Below are 15119 nucleotides of genomic sequence, written 5' to 3'. Positions count from 1 at the left end.
GCCCCCCTCGGCCTCCCGAAGTGCTGGGATTACAGAGGTGAGCCACCACTCCTGGCCTAAAGCTGTTTTTTAAAAGCAGCCAGAGAGAAAAGAAAAAAAGGATTACAATTAGACTGATTCAATAACATGATGGAAGCAAGGAGCCAGTGGAATAATATTGTCAATATCCCGAAAAAATTTAACTGTCACTCTAGAATTCTACATACACTAATACCAGTTTTTGAGAACAAGGGCAAAGTAGAGACATTTTCAGACAAAGAGTTTGCCATCAAAAGATTTTCAATGAAAGAATAAAAAATACACTTTTAGCCAAAGGAAAATAATCTCATCTTGAAGGTGTGAGATGCAAAAACAAATGATGAGCAAAGATACTGGGAGATATGTGGGAAATCTAAACAATTATCAACTGTAAAAATAGTATCGGCCAGGCGTGGTGGCTCATGCCTCTAATCCCAGCACTTTGGGAGGCCGAGGCAGGCGGATCACCTGAGTTTGAGGCCAGCCTGACCAACCTGGAGAAACCCTGTCTCTACTAAAAATACAAAAAATTAGCTGGGCGTGGTAGCACATACCTGTAATCCCAGCTACTTGGGAGGCTGAGGCTTGAACCCAGGAGACAGAGGCTGCGGTAAGCCAAGATCACACCATTGTACTCCAGCCTGGGCAACAAGAGTGAAACTCCATCTCAAAAAAAAAAAAAATCTACTCTGTGTGTGTGTGTGTGTGTGTGTGTGTGTGTGTGTGTGTGTAAAGGGATGGAGAAAAACAAGGTAAAACTAAAACCAGACAACAACAGCATATAAGCCAGGAGCAGTATGATGAGAGTTAAAGCATTCTTCAGCACCATATGACAAGAAGAGAAAAAAAAGAAAAAGAAAAAAAGAGTTAAAGCATCCTAAGGTTTTTGTATCCTATAAGATAAAGGTACAGATGCCAGTCACTTTTAGACTTAAAGTATGCATGTTAAGTAGGTACGAAAACACTTAGGTGACTTCCAAACAAGAATAGGAAAGAAACTACGGTCAATCCAAAAAAAGGAGGATAGAGAACACTTAGAAAAAAAAAAAGCTTATTTAGAATATCTCAAAATAAGATATCTGAATTTATTTCTACTATATCAATAATCACTACACCAAGGTAAATAAACTAATTCTCAGCCGGGCACGGCAACAGAGTGAGACTCCGTCCCAAAAAAAAAAAAAATTAGAGGACCCCTTGGCCAGTGTGGTAGCTCACACCTGTAATCCCAGCACGTTGGGAACCCGAGGCGGGTGGATCACCTGAGGCTCACTGCTGCCTCCAACTCACAGCCCATTTCTACAAATCTTTTTAATGTCTCTGGCTTAAGAGAACACAGTTGGAATCTGTGCTTCTATATTAATTCTGTTATGTTTTGATTGAATTGCATGAAGAAAATCCAGCCTCACACAGATACATAGTTGGAAAAGGTAGGAATATTTTAAAAGCCTTTTCAGAAAATTGTGGATATTAGTTTTTGATACTACACCAAAACTTGACAAGTGGTACTTTCTTAAGGGTTAGCTGCAATGTGGAATCTGAAACACTCTCAATAAAAGCTCTGTACTCTGTTCCATTAAAATTCATTGATGTATCTTGTATTTTAAATGGATCTTTTATCCATGTATGAATTTAGAACATCGTACTTGTTCATCTGGAAAATATTGGCTCACTGAGTTATACTGAGCTTCCAAATGCTGACACATTTCATTATATGATAACTAAAAATCACAACATTAATACCATCACCAATTATTAGAAAAGTCTTTCAGGTATCTAAAAGCTGTCAGGTTCATAGTGGCAGATACAAATTTTCCAAACTTTGATTTTTCACTTGAATGCTCAAATTCTATCACTGGCAACAGATACGGCCAGTTGTTTTCTTTGAAATAACAGGACTGTTTTGTTCATTTTCAAGAAAACATCTTCCAAGTACCCAAGTCTGTATAACTACGGTTCGTACGTCAGTCATTCTTTTTTTTTGAGACAGAGTCTCACTCTGTCGCCAGGCCGGAGTGCAGTGGCACAATCTTGGCTCACTGCAACCTCTGCCTACTGGGTTCAAGTGATTCTCCTGCCTCAGCCTCCCGAGTAGCTGGGACTACAGGCATGTGCCACCATGCCCAGCTAATTTTTGTATTTTTAGCAGAGACGGGGTTTCACCATGTTGGCCAGGATGGTCTCAATCTCTTGACCTTGTGATCCACCTGCCTCGGCCTCCCAAAATGCTGGGATTACAGGTGTGAGCCACCGCGCTTGGCCATCAGTCATTCTTTCAAATAAAAATGGAGCTAGTTTGGCTCGCAACTCAATCACACAAATGCTTTTCCTCAGAATAACCACTGTACTTTAGCATGCAGGAGGACTTTGTTTGTACTTGCCATTTCATCATACAGAATATTAAAGATGTAGAGATTTAATAAAACTAATGAGTTAATTTTTACTGCTTCATTTGACATTAAGTGAAATTAGCATTTTTTTTTTTACCACAATGAAGAACATAATGAAGAATATGCTAGTATAGTTTGGTGCCACTGCCTTGATTCCTGTTAAATGGCCAGCAGTTTTACCCACCATTGCTTTAGCACCATCAACGCTAAGGTGAACAAAGTGAAAATGGCAAATAATACCTTGGTATTATTATGAAAATAATTTTGACCTCTTGGACTTCCTGAAAGGGTCTCAGGAAGCCCCAGGGGGTCCACAGACCATATTTGAGAATTTCTTGTCTAGGACATCATGTTATACCTAGATTATCATGTCAGCTTCCTAACTAGTATTCCTGCCTTCAGCCTCTCTCTTAATTCACATTGTTGGGAACTACTAGATATAGCTTCCTACAAAGCTGCTTTCAACATATTCTAGCCAAAAATTTTCAGTGATTTCCCCACTGAATAAAGTTCCAATTCCTTAGCATCACATTGGAAGACCTCTACAATCTGTCCTCACCCAACTTTTTCAGGCTTACCACCTAACACCACCTCTAATTAGGTCAGGCTGGTCTATTTAAGGTCTCCTAAAACACAATTTACACACCTCACAACTTTGCTTGAAATATTCCCATCATATCAAGTATCACTTTCTGTCATCAAATCCCAAATCCTATTCAACCTGTAAGGCCCAGCTCAACACCCACATACTTTATGGTGTTTTAACTAATCATTTTGATTTACAGTGCTTTCTTCCTTCCTGGAAATATTACAGCAATTATTATCCTCAAACTATCATATACTGTTTTTGATAATTTATGTGATTTCCTTAATTCCCCAATGAGATTTCAAGTTCGTGGAATATAGAAACCCTATGCTAAACTTTGAATCTTCTACAGTGGCTAGGACAATGCAATGAACACACTGGAAACATCATTTTTAAAAAATAAAATCAATAAATGAATTCCCTTCCCAAAGGCAAGAGCAATACAGTTAGATGAGTGATTCACATGGTCTGTGAACTACTGATGGTCCTTGAAAGTCTTCCAGGTGGACAGTAGATTGATTTCTTAAAGTTATTAATGTTTTTAAGAGAAATAATTATGCTATTTAATCAAAATCACTCCATTGGCACTCATGAAAAGTAATCCTCTCCTTCTCATTAATTCTGATGAGGCTTTTGCAGTGTTAATCAAGAAAATGTAGAGTAAATGACTCAAAGGACTCTGTTGAAGTGGTTTAAAAGGGAAAAGATGGCAATGAGTGCTCCAGATCAGCAAACAAGACTCCAACGTGGAATCAACTTTATCTGTAACATTTTTATTTCCTTAAAAGAAGACATAAAGTAAATACGATAAAAATTTTCTATTTGTTAATCTGAGAGACAGGTGCAAAATAGAATGTTATTATTTGCCCTTTTCTGTATATTTGATATGTCTACGTTATCTTGGTACATTTCTATATGTTTGATATATTTTTAAAATAAGGAAAAACATATTGTGTAGCACACTGAAGCATATATGGTGCATCAATATACACACATGTACTATTTGATTGATGCCTAATGCTGTCCAATTTTTACTTACCAGTGCATCATCTTGCAATGAAGCAAAAAAGAAGCCATAGAGCAAGTTAATTTGCTCCTTACGATCAATGAAGTCAAACATTGCAACCAGCCAACGATAAAAAAGTACCTATTGAAGAGACAAAATACTTATCTTTAAAGAAATATAACTGGTACAGAAGAGTTTAATTCCGCCCCCCGTCCCCCGCCACCAGGGCTATTTTAGAAGCTTCAGGCACAAAGTAGAATAATAGATTTTATTTCTCAGTAAAAATTTCTGTTTGAACATAGTCCTTGCATCAAGATATATTGTTCCAAAACTACAGGCTTTGCACAAAAGGCCAATGCCATTACTTCATAAGTGGCTCTTCCTTGCCAGCCCTTAAGTGGTTCTGAAGGACTTATCATCAAAGTGTTTAAAAAGATTACCTTGGTGCTACCAGAACACTTGCCAACACAAAGCCAGGAGACTGCCTTAACCACAGAATCTTCTGATATTACTGTTGCTGGGATCATGCACTTCAATATCCGTGTGTTTACAGCATTTCCTGGAAAGGAGACAAGCTAAATTAAACTACATTTTAGTGTCTCGATTGTTCTTTTACTATTATTCACTCTTGGATCTAAAAATCTCACATTAGGCTGGGCGCGGCAGCTCATGCCTGTAATCCCAGCACTTTGGGAGGCCATGGTGGGCAGATCACCTGAAGTTGGGAGTTCAAGACCAGCCCGACCAACATGGAGAAACCCTATCTCTACTAAAAATATAAAAATTAGCTGGGCGTGGTGGAGCATGCCTGTAATCCCAGCTACTCGGGAGGCTGAGGCAGGAGAATCGCTTGAACCCAGGAGGCAGAGGTTGCGGTGAGCCAAGATCACGCCATGCACTCCAGCCTGGACAACAAGACCAAAACTCCATCTCAAAAAAAAAAAAAAAAAAAAAAACACCACACCTCACGTTATATTGAAGGCAATAAAAACCAACAGTATGTAAAATTCAGTATCTCTTATCATTATTAATAAATTGTTCAAAACAAAAATGTACCTTTAACTACTAATATACAATAAGGCAATAGTTAGGCACAGTGGCTCATGCCTATAATCCTAACACTTTGGGAGGCCGAGGCAAGCGGATCACTTGAGCCCAGGAGGTCAAGACTAGCCTGGGCAACATGACAAAACCCCGTTATCTACTAAAAATACAAAAATTAGCCAAGGGTGGTGGGGCAAGCCTGTAGTCACAGCAACTCGGGAGGCTGATGTGGGGGAAACACCTGAGCCCAGGGAGGTTGAGGCTGCAGTGAGCTGTGATCGTGCCACTGCACTCCAGCCTGGGTGACAGAGTGAGACCCTCTCTCAAAAAAAAAAAAAACTATAAGGCAAATTATTTGGTCCAAATATTTCTATTTAAAAAATATAAATGAGTACAGGGTTTCTTCTTGGGGTGATGAAAATGTTCAAGAATTAGATAGTGGTGATGATTACACAACTCTGTGACTATGCTTTAAAAAAATGCTGAATTTGGGGCCGAGCGTGGTGACACATGCCTATAATCTAAGCACTTTGGGATGCTGAAGCAGATGGATCACTTGAGCCCAGGAGTTTGAGACCAGCCTGGGCAACATAGCAGGACCCCGTCTCTATGGGAAAAAAAAAAAGATTAGCTGGGCATGGTGGTGCCTCCTGGGAGGCTGAGGCCGGAGGACTGCTTGAGCCTAGGAGTTTGAGATTAGCCTAGGCAATATAGTGAGACCCCAATCTCTACAAAAAATATAAAAATTAGCCAGATGTGGTAGCACATGCCTATAGTCCCAGTTACTTGGGAGGCTGACGTGGGAGGATCGCTTGAGCCTGGAAGGTGGAGGTTGCAGTGAACTGAGATCACACCACTAGACTCCAGCCTGGGTGACAGAGTGAGACTTTGTCTCCAAAAACAAAAATGCTGAATTTTTAAAACAATGAATTTTGCCGGGCACAGTAGCTCACGCCTGTAATTCTAGCACTTTGGGAGGCTGAGGCAGGCAGATCACCTGAGGTCAGGAGTTCAAGACCAGCCTGGCCAAGGTGATGAAACCCCATCTCTAATAAAAAAAATACAAAATTAGGCCAGGTGTGGTGGCTCACGCCTGTAATCCAGCCCAGGTGACAAGAGCAAAACTCCGTCTCAAAAAAAAAAAAAAAAAAATTAGCCAAGTGTTGTGGTAGGCGCCTGTAATCCCAGCCACTCGGGAGGCTGAGGCAGGAGAATCACTGGAACCCGGGAGGCAGAGGTTGCAGTGAGCCAAGATCATGCCATTGCACTGCACCCTGGGCTACAAGAGTGAAACTCCATCTCAAAAATAAAAAAATAAAACAATGAATTTTATGAGGGCACGGTGGCTCACAACTGTAATCCCAGCATTTTGGAAGGCCGAAGCAGGCAGATCATCTGAGGTCAGGAGTTCAAGACCAGCATGGCCAACATGGTGAAACCCCATCTCTACTAAAAATACAAAAATTAGCTGGGTGTGGTGGTGGGAGCCTGTAATCCCAGCTACTCGGGAGGCTGAGGCAGGAGAATCGCTTGAACCCAGGAGGCAGAGGCTGCAGTGAGCCAAGATCACACCATTGCACTCCAGCCTGGGCAATAAGAGTGAAACTCCATCTCACAAAAAAAAGAAAAGAAAAAAAATGAATTTTATGGTATGTAAATTATACCTCCAAAAAAGCTTTCAATCACAGGGAAATTTCAAAGATTTTTTTTTAATGGCCTAATAGACTGATTTATTTAAAGCTACTGACGGACACTTTGCATGAGGTGTTACATTTAAGAATGTATTTGTTCATGAGAGAATGTGAACCAGAAATAAAAACATAAATATAAAATTAAAAATATATATATTTGTACCATCCACTCACCCCAAAAAAGTGGGGAGAGTAGCAGAAGAGAACAGATATTCTTTTTTTTTTTTTTTTTTTTTGAGACAGGGTCTGACTCTGTCACCCAGGCTGGAGTGCAGTGGTGCAATCATAGCTCATAACAACCTCAAATTCCTGGGCTCAAGCAATCCTCCCACCTCAGCCTCCAGAGTAGCTGGGACTACAGGCACGTGCCACCATACCTGGTTAAGTTTTTTATTTTTAGCAAAGACAAGGTCTCACTATGTTGCCCAGGCTGGTCTCACATCCTGGGCTCAAGGGATCTGCCCACCTTGGCCTCCCAAAGTGCTGGGATTACAGGCATGAGCCACTGTGACTGGCCTAGAACAAGATATTCTTGGAATTGGCTGGCAGTAATACCATTCTACACTAGTCCAATCTTTCCACTTGATCTCAGGCCTCTATGGTGTTCTCCCATCTGGTAATAGAAATGATGTCACAGAGATCACCTGAGGTCAGGAGTTCGAGACCAGCCTGGCCAACGTGGTGAAACCCCATCTCTACTAAAAATACAAAACTTAGCTGGGCATGGTGGCGGGCACCTGTAATCCCAGCTACTCAGGAGGCTGAGGCAGGAGAATCGCTTGAACCCGGGAGGCGGAGGTTGCAGTTAGCTGAGATCACACCATTGCACTCCAGCCTGGGTGACAAGAGCAAAACTCCATCTCAAAAAAAAAAAAAAAAGATGTCATAGAGACTGGCTTTGAATATATCCTATCTCAATTTCTGTTAATTAAGGCTTCAAGAATTAGAATATATCTCATCACTTTCTACACTATCATTCTGTGGAGAAGAAAGGAAGCAGTGATGATAGGTAATGAATCACAAAAATAAAAATCTCTGCTTTCCACTCTTGTGGTTTCTTGTTTTTCTTGTTTTCTTTCTCACTCCCATCCACTAACTCTTCGAAATTTAAAATAGTCTCACCACCAACACATTACATGTGCACCAAATTCAAAGGGAGAATTCAATATTAATTCTATTTTTACTTCCAAGTGACTTAATTTTTAAAGAGTCTAAAGTCCCTTTGTACCTAATTATGATGACATTTCTACCATACCTGCCTCTAAATATGCATCTCAACTTACCAAAAGAGCTGCATGTAAAGATCTAGTAGGGATGGGGACATCACAGAAATAACTATAATAAAAGGGAGAAAAGGAATTAAGGAGGCCACATTTGACCTCAGCAAATTCCAGCTTAACAGAAAAAAAAAATGAAAAGTAACAATAGAAAGCCAGAGATTATTTTTTAACTTGCTATATAAAAGTTTCCCGAGTCTGAGGCATGCATTTTGAGACACCTCAAGTCCTAGCAGACATCAAGATAACCTAATCATTAATTTCTGAGATATCAAAAGGAGGCTGGGTGCAGTGGCACGCACCTGTAGTCCCATCTACTTGGGAGTCTGAGATGGGAGGATTGCTTGAGTCCAGAAGGTCAAGGCTGCAGTGAACCATGATCATACCACTGCACTGCAGTCTGGACAACACAGCGAGACTCTGTCACGAAAAAAAAATTTCTAAAATAGAAAACATCTGTATACTCCATACATGTTGTTTTTTTGTTTTGTTTTTTTGAGATGGAGTCTCGCTCTTCACCCAGGCTTGAGTGCAGTGGCATGACCTCGGCTCACTGCAAGCTCCGCCTCCTGGGTTCACGCCATTCTCCTGCCTCAGCCTCCCAAGTAGCTGCGACTACAGGCGCCCGACACCACGCCCGGCTAATTTTTTGTATTTTTAGGAGAGACGGGGTTTCACCATGTTAGCCAGGATGGTCTCGATCTCCTGATCTCGTGATCCGCCCACCTCGGCCTCCCAAAGTGTTGGGGTTACAGGCGTGAGCCACTGCACCCGGCCCCTACTCCATATATGTTTTAAGGTGAGATGGGAGTGGGAGAATTGATCTTGACAGACATTGTTCAGTTAAACATGGATTCCTGGAAAGATATTAGAACCAAATAATCTAAAACCATCTACAAGAAAAAAGCCAATTTTATTAGGTCTAATTTAACTTTCTAGGGAAACAGAGAACTAATCAGATAAAAATAGAGAAATAAAATACTTGACAGTCATATGTTGAATTCGGTTAGTAATGTGTTGTTACTTTAAAATAAATACACACACACCCCTGCAAGTATGCTGCTAGGGTATAAACAAAGGAATCTAACATGCAACAGCCAGGAAATACTTAGTATATAAAGCATTTGGTTTTGAGAGCTGTCTTAATTTTTCTTTTTTTTTTTTTTTCCCAGAGACAGGGTCTTGCTCTGTGGCCCACACTGGAGTACAGTGGCACCATCATAGCTCAAACTCCTGGGCTCAAGTGATTCTCTTGCCTCAGACTCCCAAGTAGCTGGGACTACAGGCACATGCCACTGCACCTAGCTAATTTTTTTTTAACATTTTGTAGACAAGGTTTCGCTTTGTTGCCCAGGCTGGTCTCAAATCTGGCTTCAAGCAATCATCCTGCCTTGGCCCCTCAAAGTGCTGGGATTATAGGCATGAGCCACTATACCCAGCCTTAACTTTTTTTTAAGTAGGAAAAAAAGCAGCAATGTGGTACAGTATAAGCACTAGAATGGGAGTTTGGACATCTTTAAGCAAGTCTCTTTAACTACTCTGAGCCTCTTTTTCCTCACCTTTAAATGAGAGTGTTTAGAGTCTAAAATATCTTCCAAGTCTGAATTTAAATGAGAAAAACTTAAAAGGTTCAAGTAAATAAAATATTGACCAGGTGTTATTTCTAAGAACCTCTTCCAACCATCCCAACCACCACCAATGAATTTAGAACAGGAAAAGATATTTGCACAAAAGAAAAAGCATCTTAGCTGGGCACACTGGCTCACGCCTGTAATCCTAGCACTTAGGGAGGCCAAGGCGGGTGGATCACCTGAGGTCAGAAGTTTGAGACCAGCCTGGCCAACATGGCGAAACCCCGTCTCTACTAAAAATACAAAAATTAGCTGGGTGTGGTGGCACATGCCGATAAGCCCAACTACTCAGAAAGCTGAGGCAGGAGAATCGCTTGAACCCAGGAGGCAGAGGTTGCAGTGAGCCGAGATCATGCCATTGCATTCCAGCCTGGGTGAAAGAGTGAAACTCATCTCAAAAAAAAAAAAAGAAAGAAAGAAAGAAAATGAAGGTAATGAAGTAGACTAAGTGATCTTTTAAGATGCCTTCCAGCAACATTGTTTAAATTACTACGTATGCTTCTTAAGATAAATACTAAAAAATGGTTCTCATGTATTTGGTGACAAAAGTATGTATTTTGCATTTTATCTGTGATGATATATGGTAACTGGTTATTTTTGGCATATGCACACAGAAACTTTTGGCCCAAACACACACACAAAAAAACCCATTTTATAATCTTAACAGATTGGTCTTATGAAGAGAACAGTAAACATAAAAAACTGCAACTAATTCCAATGAACAATGTAATTCAAAGTCTAAAAGGAAGGTCGGACACAGTGGGTCACGCCTGTAATCCCAGCACTTTGGAAGGCCGAGGTGGGCGGATCACCTGAGGTCGGGAGTTCGAGACCAACCCGACCAACATGGAGAAACCCCATCTCCACTAAAAATACAAAACTAGTCAGGCGTGGTGGCGCATGCCTGTAATCCCAGCTACTCAGGAGGCTGAGGCAGGAGAATCGCTTGAACCTGGGAGGCAGAGGTTGCAGTGAGCCAAGATTGCACCACTGCACTCCAGCCTGGGCAACAAGTGCAAAACTCAGTCTCAAAAAAATAAATAAACAAAGTCTAAAAGGAAAAACTAACAGCAAAGTGATGACAAAAGCATCCCAGGCTGGGCGCAGTGGCTCACACCTGTAATCCCAGCACTTTGGGAGGCCGAGGCGGGTGGATCACGAGGTCAGGAGTTCAAGACCAGTCTGCCCAAGATGGTGAAACCCTGTCTCTACTAAAAATACAAAAACATTAGCCGGGCGTGGTGGCAGGCACCTGTAATCCCAGCTACTCGGGAGGCTGAGGCAGAGAACTGCTTGAACCCGGAAAGTGGAGGTTGCAGTGAGCTGAGATTGCGCCACTGCACTCCAGCCTGGGCGATGGAGTGAGACCCAGTCTCCCAAAAGAAAAAAAAATCCCCTCGGCCAGGCACGGTGGCTCACACCTGTAATCCCAGCACTTTGGGAGGCCGAGGCAGGCGGATCACGAGGTCAGGAGATGGAGACCATCTTGGCTAACACAGCAAAAACCCGTCCCTACTAAAAAAAAAAAAAAAATACAAAAAATTAGCCAGGTGTGGTGGCACGCACCTGTAGTCCCAGCTACTCAGGAGGCTGAGGCAGGAGAATTGCTTGAACCCGAGAGGCAGAGGTAGCAGTGAGCTGAGATGGTGCCACTGCACTACAGCCTGGGTGACAGAGCAAGACTCCATCTCAAAACAAAAAACAAAAAACAAAACAACATCCCCCTCGAGCCAGGTGCGGTGGCTCAAGCCTATAATCCCAGCACTTTGAGAGGCCAAGGCGGGAGGATCACTTGAGTCTAGGAGTTCGAGACCAACCTGGGCAATATAGTGAGATGCTGTCTCTATTATAAAAAAAAGTATATATATATATGTGTGTGTGTGTGTGTGTGTATATATATATAAGATTTATTTTTAAAAGAAAAAAATATAGGTGCTAGGTGAGTTAAAAGAAAAAAAAAGCATTTCCTCAACATACCAAATTTGCCACTGAGTGCAATATTTAATAGAATATCAATTTCTTCTGAAGCTAACCCATTCTTCCAAGCCACATTTTCCACAGTTTTCAAGTGTTTTTCCAAGGTTTTATCTTTATTCTGTGAAGCTTTAATGGGACCTGAAAAAAGAAACAATATTAAATAGTGAGACCTTTAAAATTATTTCAGTCTTCGGCCTCAATAATAAGAATTTGGAACTCTTTAAAGGAATAGCTTAATAACCAGGCGTGGTGACCCACATCTGTAATTCCAGCATTTTGGGAGGCCAAAGTAAGAGGATCACTTGAGGCCAGGAGTTTGAGACCAGCCTGGGCAACATGACAAGACTCCATCTCTACAAAAAAATTAAAAACTAGCTGGGCATGCTGGCACGCACCTGTGGTCCCAGCTCCTCAGGAGGCTGAGATGGGAGGATCACTTGTGCCCAAAAGGTTAAACGTACAATGATCATGCCACTGCACTCCAGCCTGGGCAACAGAGCAAGACCCCGTCTCCAAAAATAAATAAAGGAGTTTATGTAAGAAGTGTCTTCCCAAAAACTGTTCAAAGATGTTTTTAACTAAAGAATATTTAACAGCGATAGCAACTTCAGTGAGGAAAGCTGGATTATGCCCTGACATTCCTATTCTAAACTAAAAGCACTGAACTTAGACTACAACCTGTTTCAATATTAGGACAGTGGTTCCCAAACTTTACCATACATTGGAACCACCTAGGAAGCCTTTAAAAAAAATCCCTATGCCAGGTTGCATCCCATACCAATAAAATCAGAAAGTCTAAGAGTAGATGCCTGACATCAGTTTGTTTGTTAAAGATTCTCAGAGCCAAAGGGGTAGAGAGGGAGGAAAAAAAAAAAGAAAAAAAGGTTCTCAAGTGATCCCAATATGCAGCCGTTTGGGAACCACTCTGCTAGTAAGTTTTGTTGTTGTGTCCCTAGTGCCTAGCATACTGATATATAGTAATTGCTCAATGTCTATTAAATAAACAAAAGCATGAATGAGCAAAATTATGCTTTCCTTTAAAAATTCTTAAGAAAAAAAGACTAGAATATTTTTACAGAAATAGGAGTTTCATAAGGAAAACAATCCACCTTTACCTTTCTCAAAATATCCCACTGCCATTTGCAAAGCATCTTCTTCAGCTTGATCATCAGCATGTTCATAATCTCCCACTGGATTGTTTTGTCCATGTTTTGAGATGTTCTTCGAGTTGCTTGGATCCTGTTTTACTTTCCAGGCTGAAAGCGTGGTCTGAAAACTACTACTACCTTGTGAAGTCCTGTTTTGTGCCTGGACGTTCTTAACTCTCTTTTGAGGTGACATTACTGCATATGTTCTACACAGAAACAAGTGTTAAGTTATCATTAATCAGCCAAACAGTCCTTTTTTCTCCACAGAGACAGGGTGTGTTTCCAGTATTTAGTATACAATAGCTAGCATACAACAGGCATACAATAAATAAGTTGACAACAATCCAGGAAACAAAGTCTAGAGGTTGACTTTCTCAGAAAGTCCTTGCCCTAAATAGAAATAGAAACAACCTGACAAGGTAACATTCATCAGCTGAACTAGCTTTCTAGTGGAAAAAACCAGTAAGAGTACAGGCAACATATGCAAGTTCTCTCTTAGAATGGCTATGTCATATAAGTGGGTCCAAAACTAATCCATCTCGGCCGGGCGTGGTGGCTCACACCTGTAATCCCAGCACTCTGGGAGGCCGAGGTGGGCCTGACTTGAGGTCAGGCGTACAGGAGTTTGAGACCAGCCTGGCCAATATGAGGAAACCCCGTCTCTGCTAAAAAATACAAAAACTAGTTGGGCATGGTGGCACACACCTGTAATCCCAGCTACTCGGGAGGCTGAGGCAGGAGAATCACTTGAACCCAGGAGGTGAAGGCTGCAGTGAGCAGAGATTGCACTACTGCACTCCAGCCTGGGTGACACAGTGAGACCCTGTCTCAAACAACAAACAAAAAAACTAATCCATCTCAATAACTCAATCTTACTTTCTCCACTCCTATTTTCCCCACTTCTCCTTGATTTTGCTTTTAATCTTTATGCTCCTAAATTTGTCAGTGCTAAGTTAAAGCTGCACAGTTCAAAAGCCAAACTGGTGGCCAGACTAAGCATTTTCAGGAGACAAATATTCCCATTTATTCACTTAATAAATAATTACTAAATGTCATCTATTTGCCAAGCACAAGTCTAGTTACCAGGGATAAAATAATAAAACAATCAAGATCTCTGCTCTCATGACACTTACACTGAAGGGGGAGGTGAGAGTCAATAAATAAGTATACAACTAAGACTGGACATGGTAGTTCACACCTGTAATACAGCACTTCGGGAGGCAGAGGCTGGAAGATCCCTTCAACCTAGGAGTTCAAGACCAGTCTGGGCAACACAGTGAGACAATGTCTCTACTTAAGATTTAAAAAATTAGCTAGGCATAGCCGCACGTGCCTGTAGTCCTATCTACTCAGGAGGGTGAGGCAGGAGAATAGCTTGAGCCCCGGGGGTCGAGGCTGCAGAGAGCCGTGATTGCGCCACTGCACTCCAGCCTGGGTGACAGAGCAAGACTTTGTCTAAAAAAAAAAAAAAAAAAAAGGAAGAAAAGTAAACAATAATGAATATAATACACAGTGATGTGATAGAAATGAAGTGGAGATGGGAAGCTACATTGTAACTTTGTAATAAGTGTTCAGAGAAAACCTCTCTGAGGTGACCTTTAAACTGAGATTTGAATGCCAAGAAGGAACCAGCCCTGTGAAGATCTGGTGGAAGAGTATTTCATGGAGAGAGAAGAGGAAGACATGCTAAGACTAAGACCTTAAAGCAAAAAGAGCTTTATGTGTTAAAGAAACAGCAGCTTGGCTGGGCAAGGTGGGTCACACCTATAATCCCAGCACTTTGGGAAGCTGAGGGCAACATAGTGAGACATTGTTTCTTTTTTTTTTTTTTTGAGACAGTCTCACTCTGTCACCCAGGCTGGACTGCAGTGGCGCAATCTCTATCTCGGCTCACCACAACCTCCGCCTCCCGGGTTCAAGCAATTCTCCTGTCTCAGCCTCCCAAGTAGGTGGAATTACAGGCGCACACCACCATACCCGGCTATTTGTTGTATTTTAGTAGAGACTGGGTTTCACCATGTTAGCCAGGCTGGTCTCGAACTCCTGACCTCAAGTGATCCACACCTGCCTCAGCCTCCCAAAGTGCTGGGATTACAGGCGTGAGCCACCACGCCTGGCCCAACTCTGTCAAAAGAAAGAAGAAAGAAAGGAAAGAAAGAAAGAAAGGGAGGGAGGGAGAGAGAGAGAGACAGACAGAGACAGAAAGAAAGAAAGAAAAGAGAAAAGAAAAGAAACAGTAGTAACATCAGTCTGGAGGGAGTGGAATGAAAGAGGTAAAAGGTAATGAGCGATGAAGTCAGAACGTAGCCAGGGACTAAGTTCATATTGGGATTTGCAGGCCAGAGTAAGGA

The 15119-nt window shown here is 41.6% G+C and overlaps 1 protein-coding gene across 17 annotated transcripts in view; it reads right to left on the bottom strand.

Moving 5' to 3' along the window:
• CENPI (centromere protein I) overlaps positions 1 to 15119 on the bottom strand; it is an 83656-nt gene that overhangs the window by 67828 nt on the left and 709 nt on the right. For 11 of the 17 annotated variants that reach the window (XM_017029383.2, XM_047441951.1, XM_047441955.1 and 8 more), the window contains 4 exons: positions 12736 to 12974; positions 11621 to 11758; positions 4441 to 4559; positions 4034 to 4141 (listed from right to left, as the gene is read on the bottom strand). In XM_017029383.2, the coding sequence (XP_016884872.1) occupies positions 4034 to 4141; positions 4441 to 4559; positions 11621 to 11758; positions 12736 to 12961 (591 nt within the window). In that variant the 5' untranslated portion in view covers positions 12962 to 12974. Of the gene's footprint in view, positions 1 to 4033; positions 4142 to 4440; positions 4560 to 11620; positions 11759 to 12735; positions 12975 to 13901; positions 14224 to 15119 lie in introns of those variants that run through there. The other 6 variants (XM_011530895.3, XM_047441947.1, XM_047441952.1 and 3 more) reach the window with 2 other exon arrangements.

This window comes from Homo sapiens, chromosome X (assembly GCF_000001405.40).
Source record: "Homo sapiens chromosome X, GRCh38.p14 Primary Assembly".
Taxonomy (NCBI): domain Eukaryota; kingdom Metazoa; phylum Chordata; class Mammalia; order Primates; family Hominidae; genus Homo; species Homo sapiens.
This window is presented reverse-complemented; position numbering and strand designations above follow the sequence as displayed.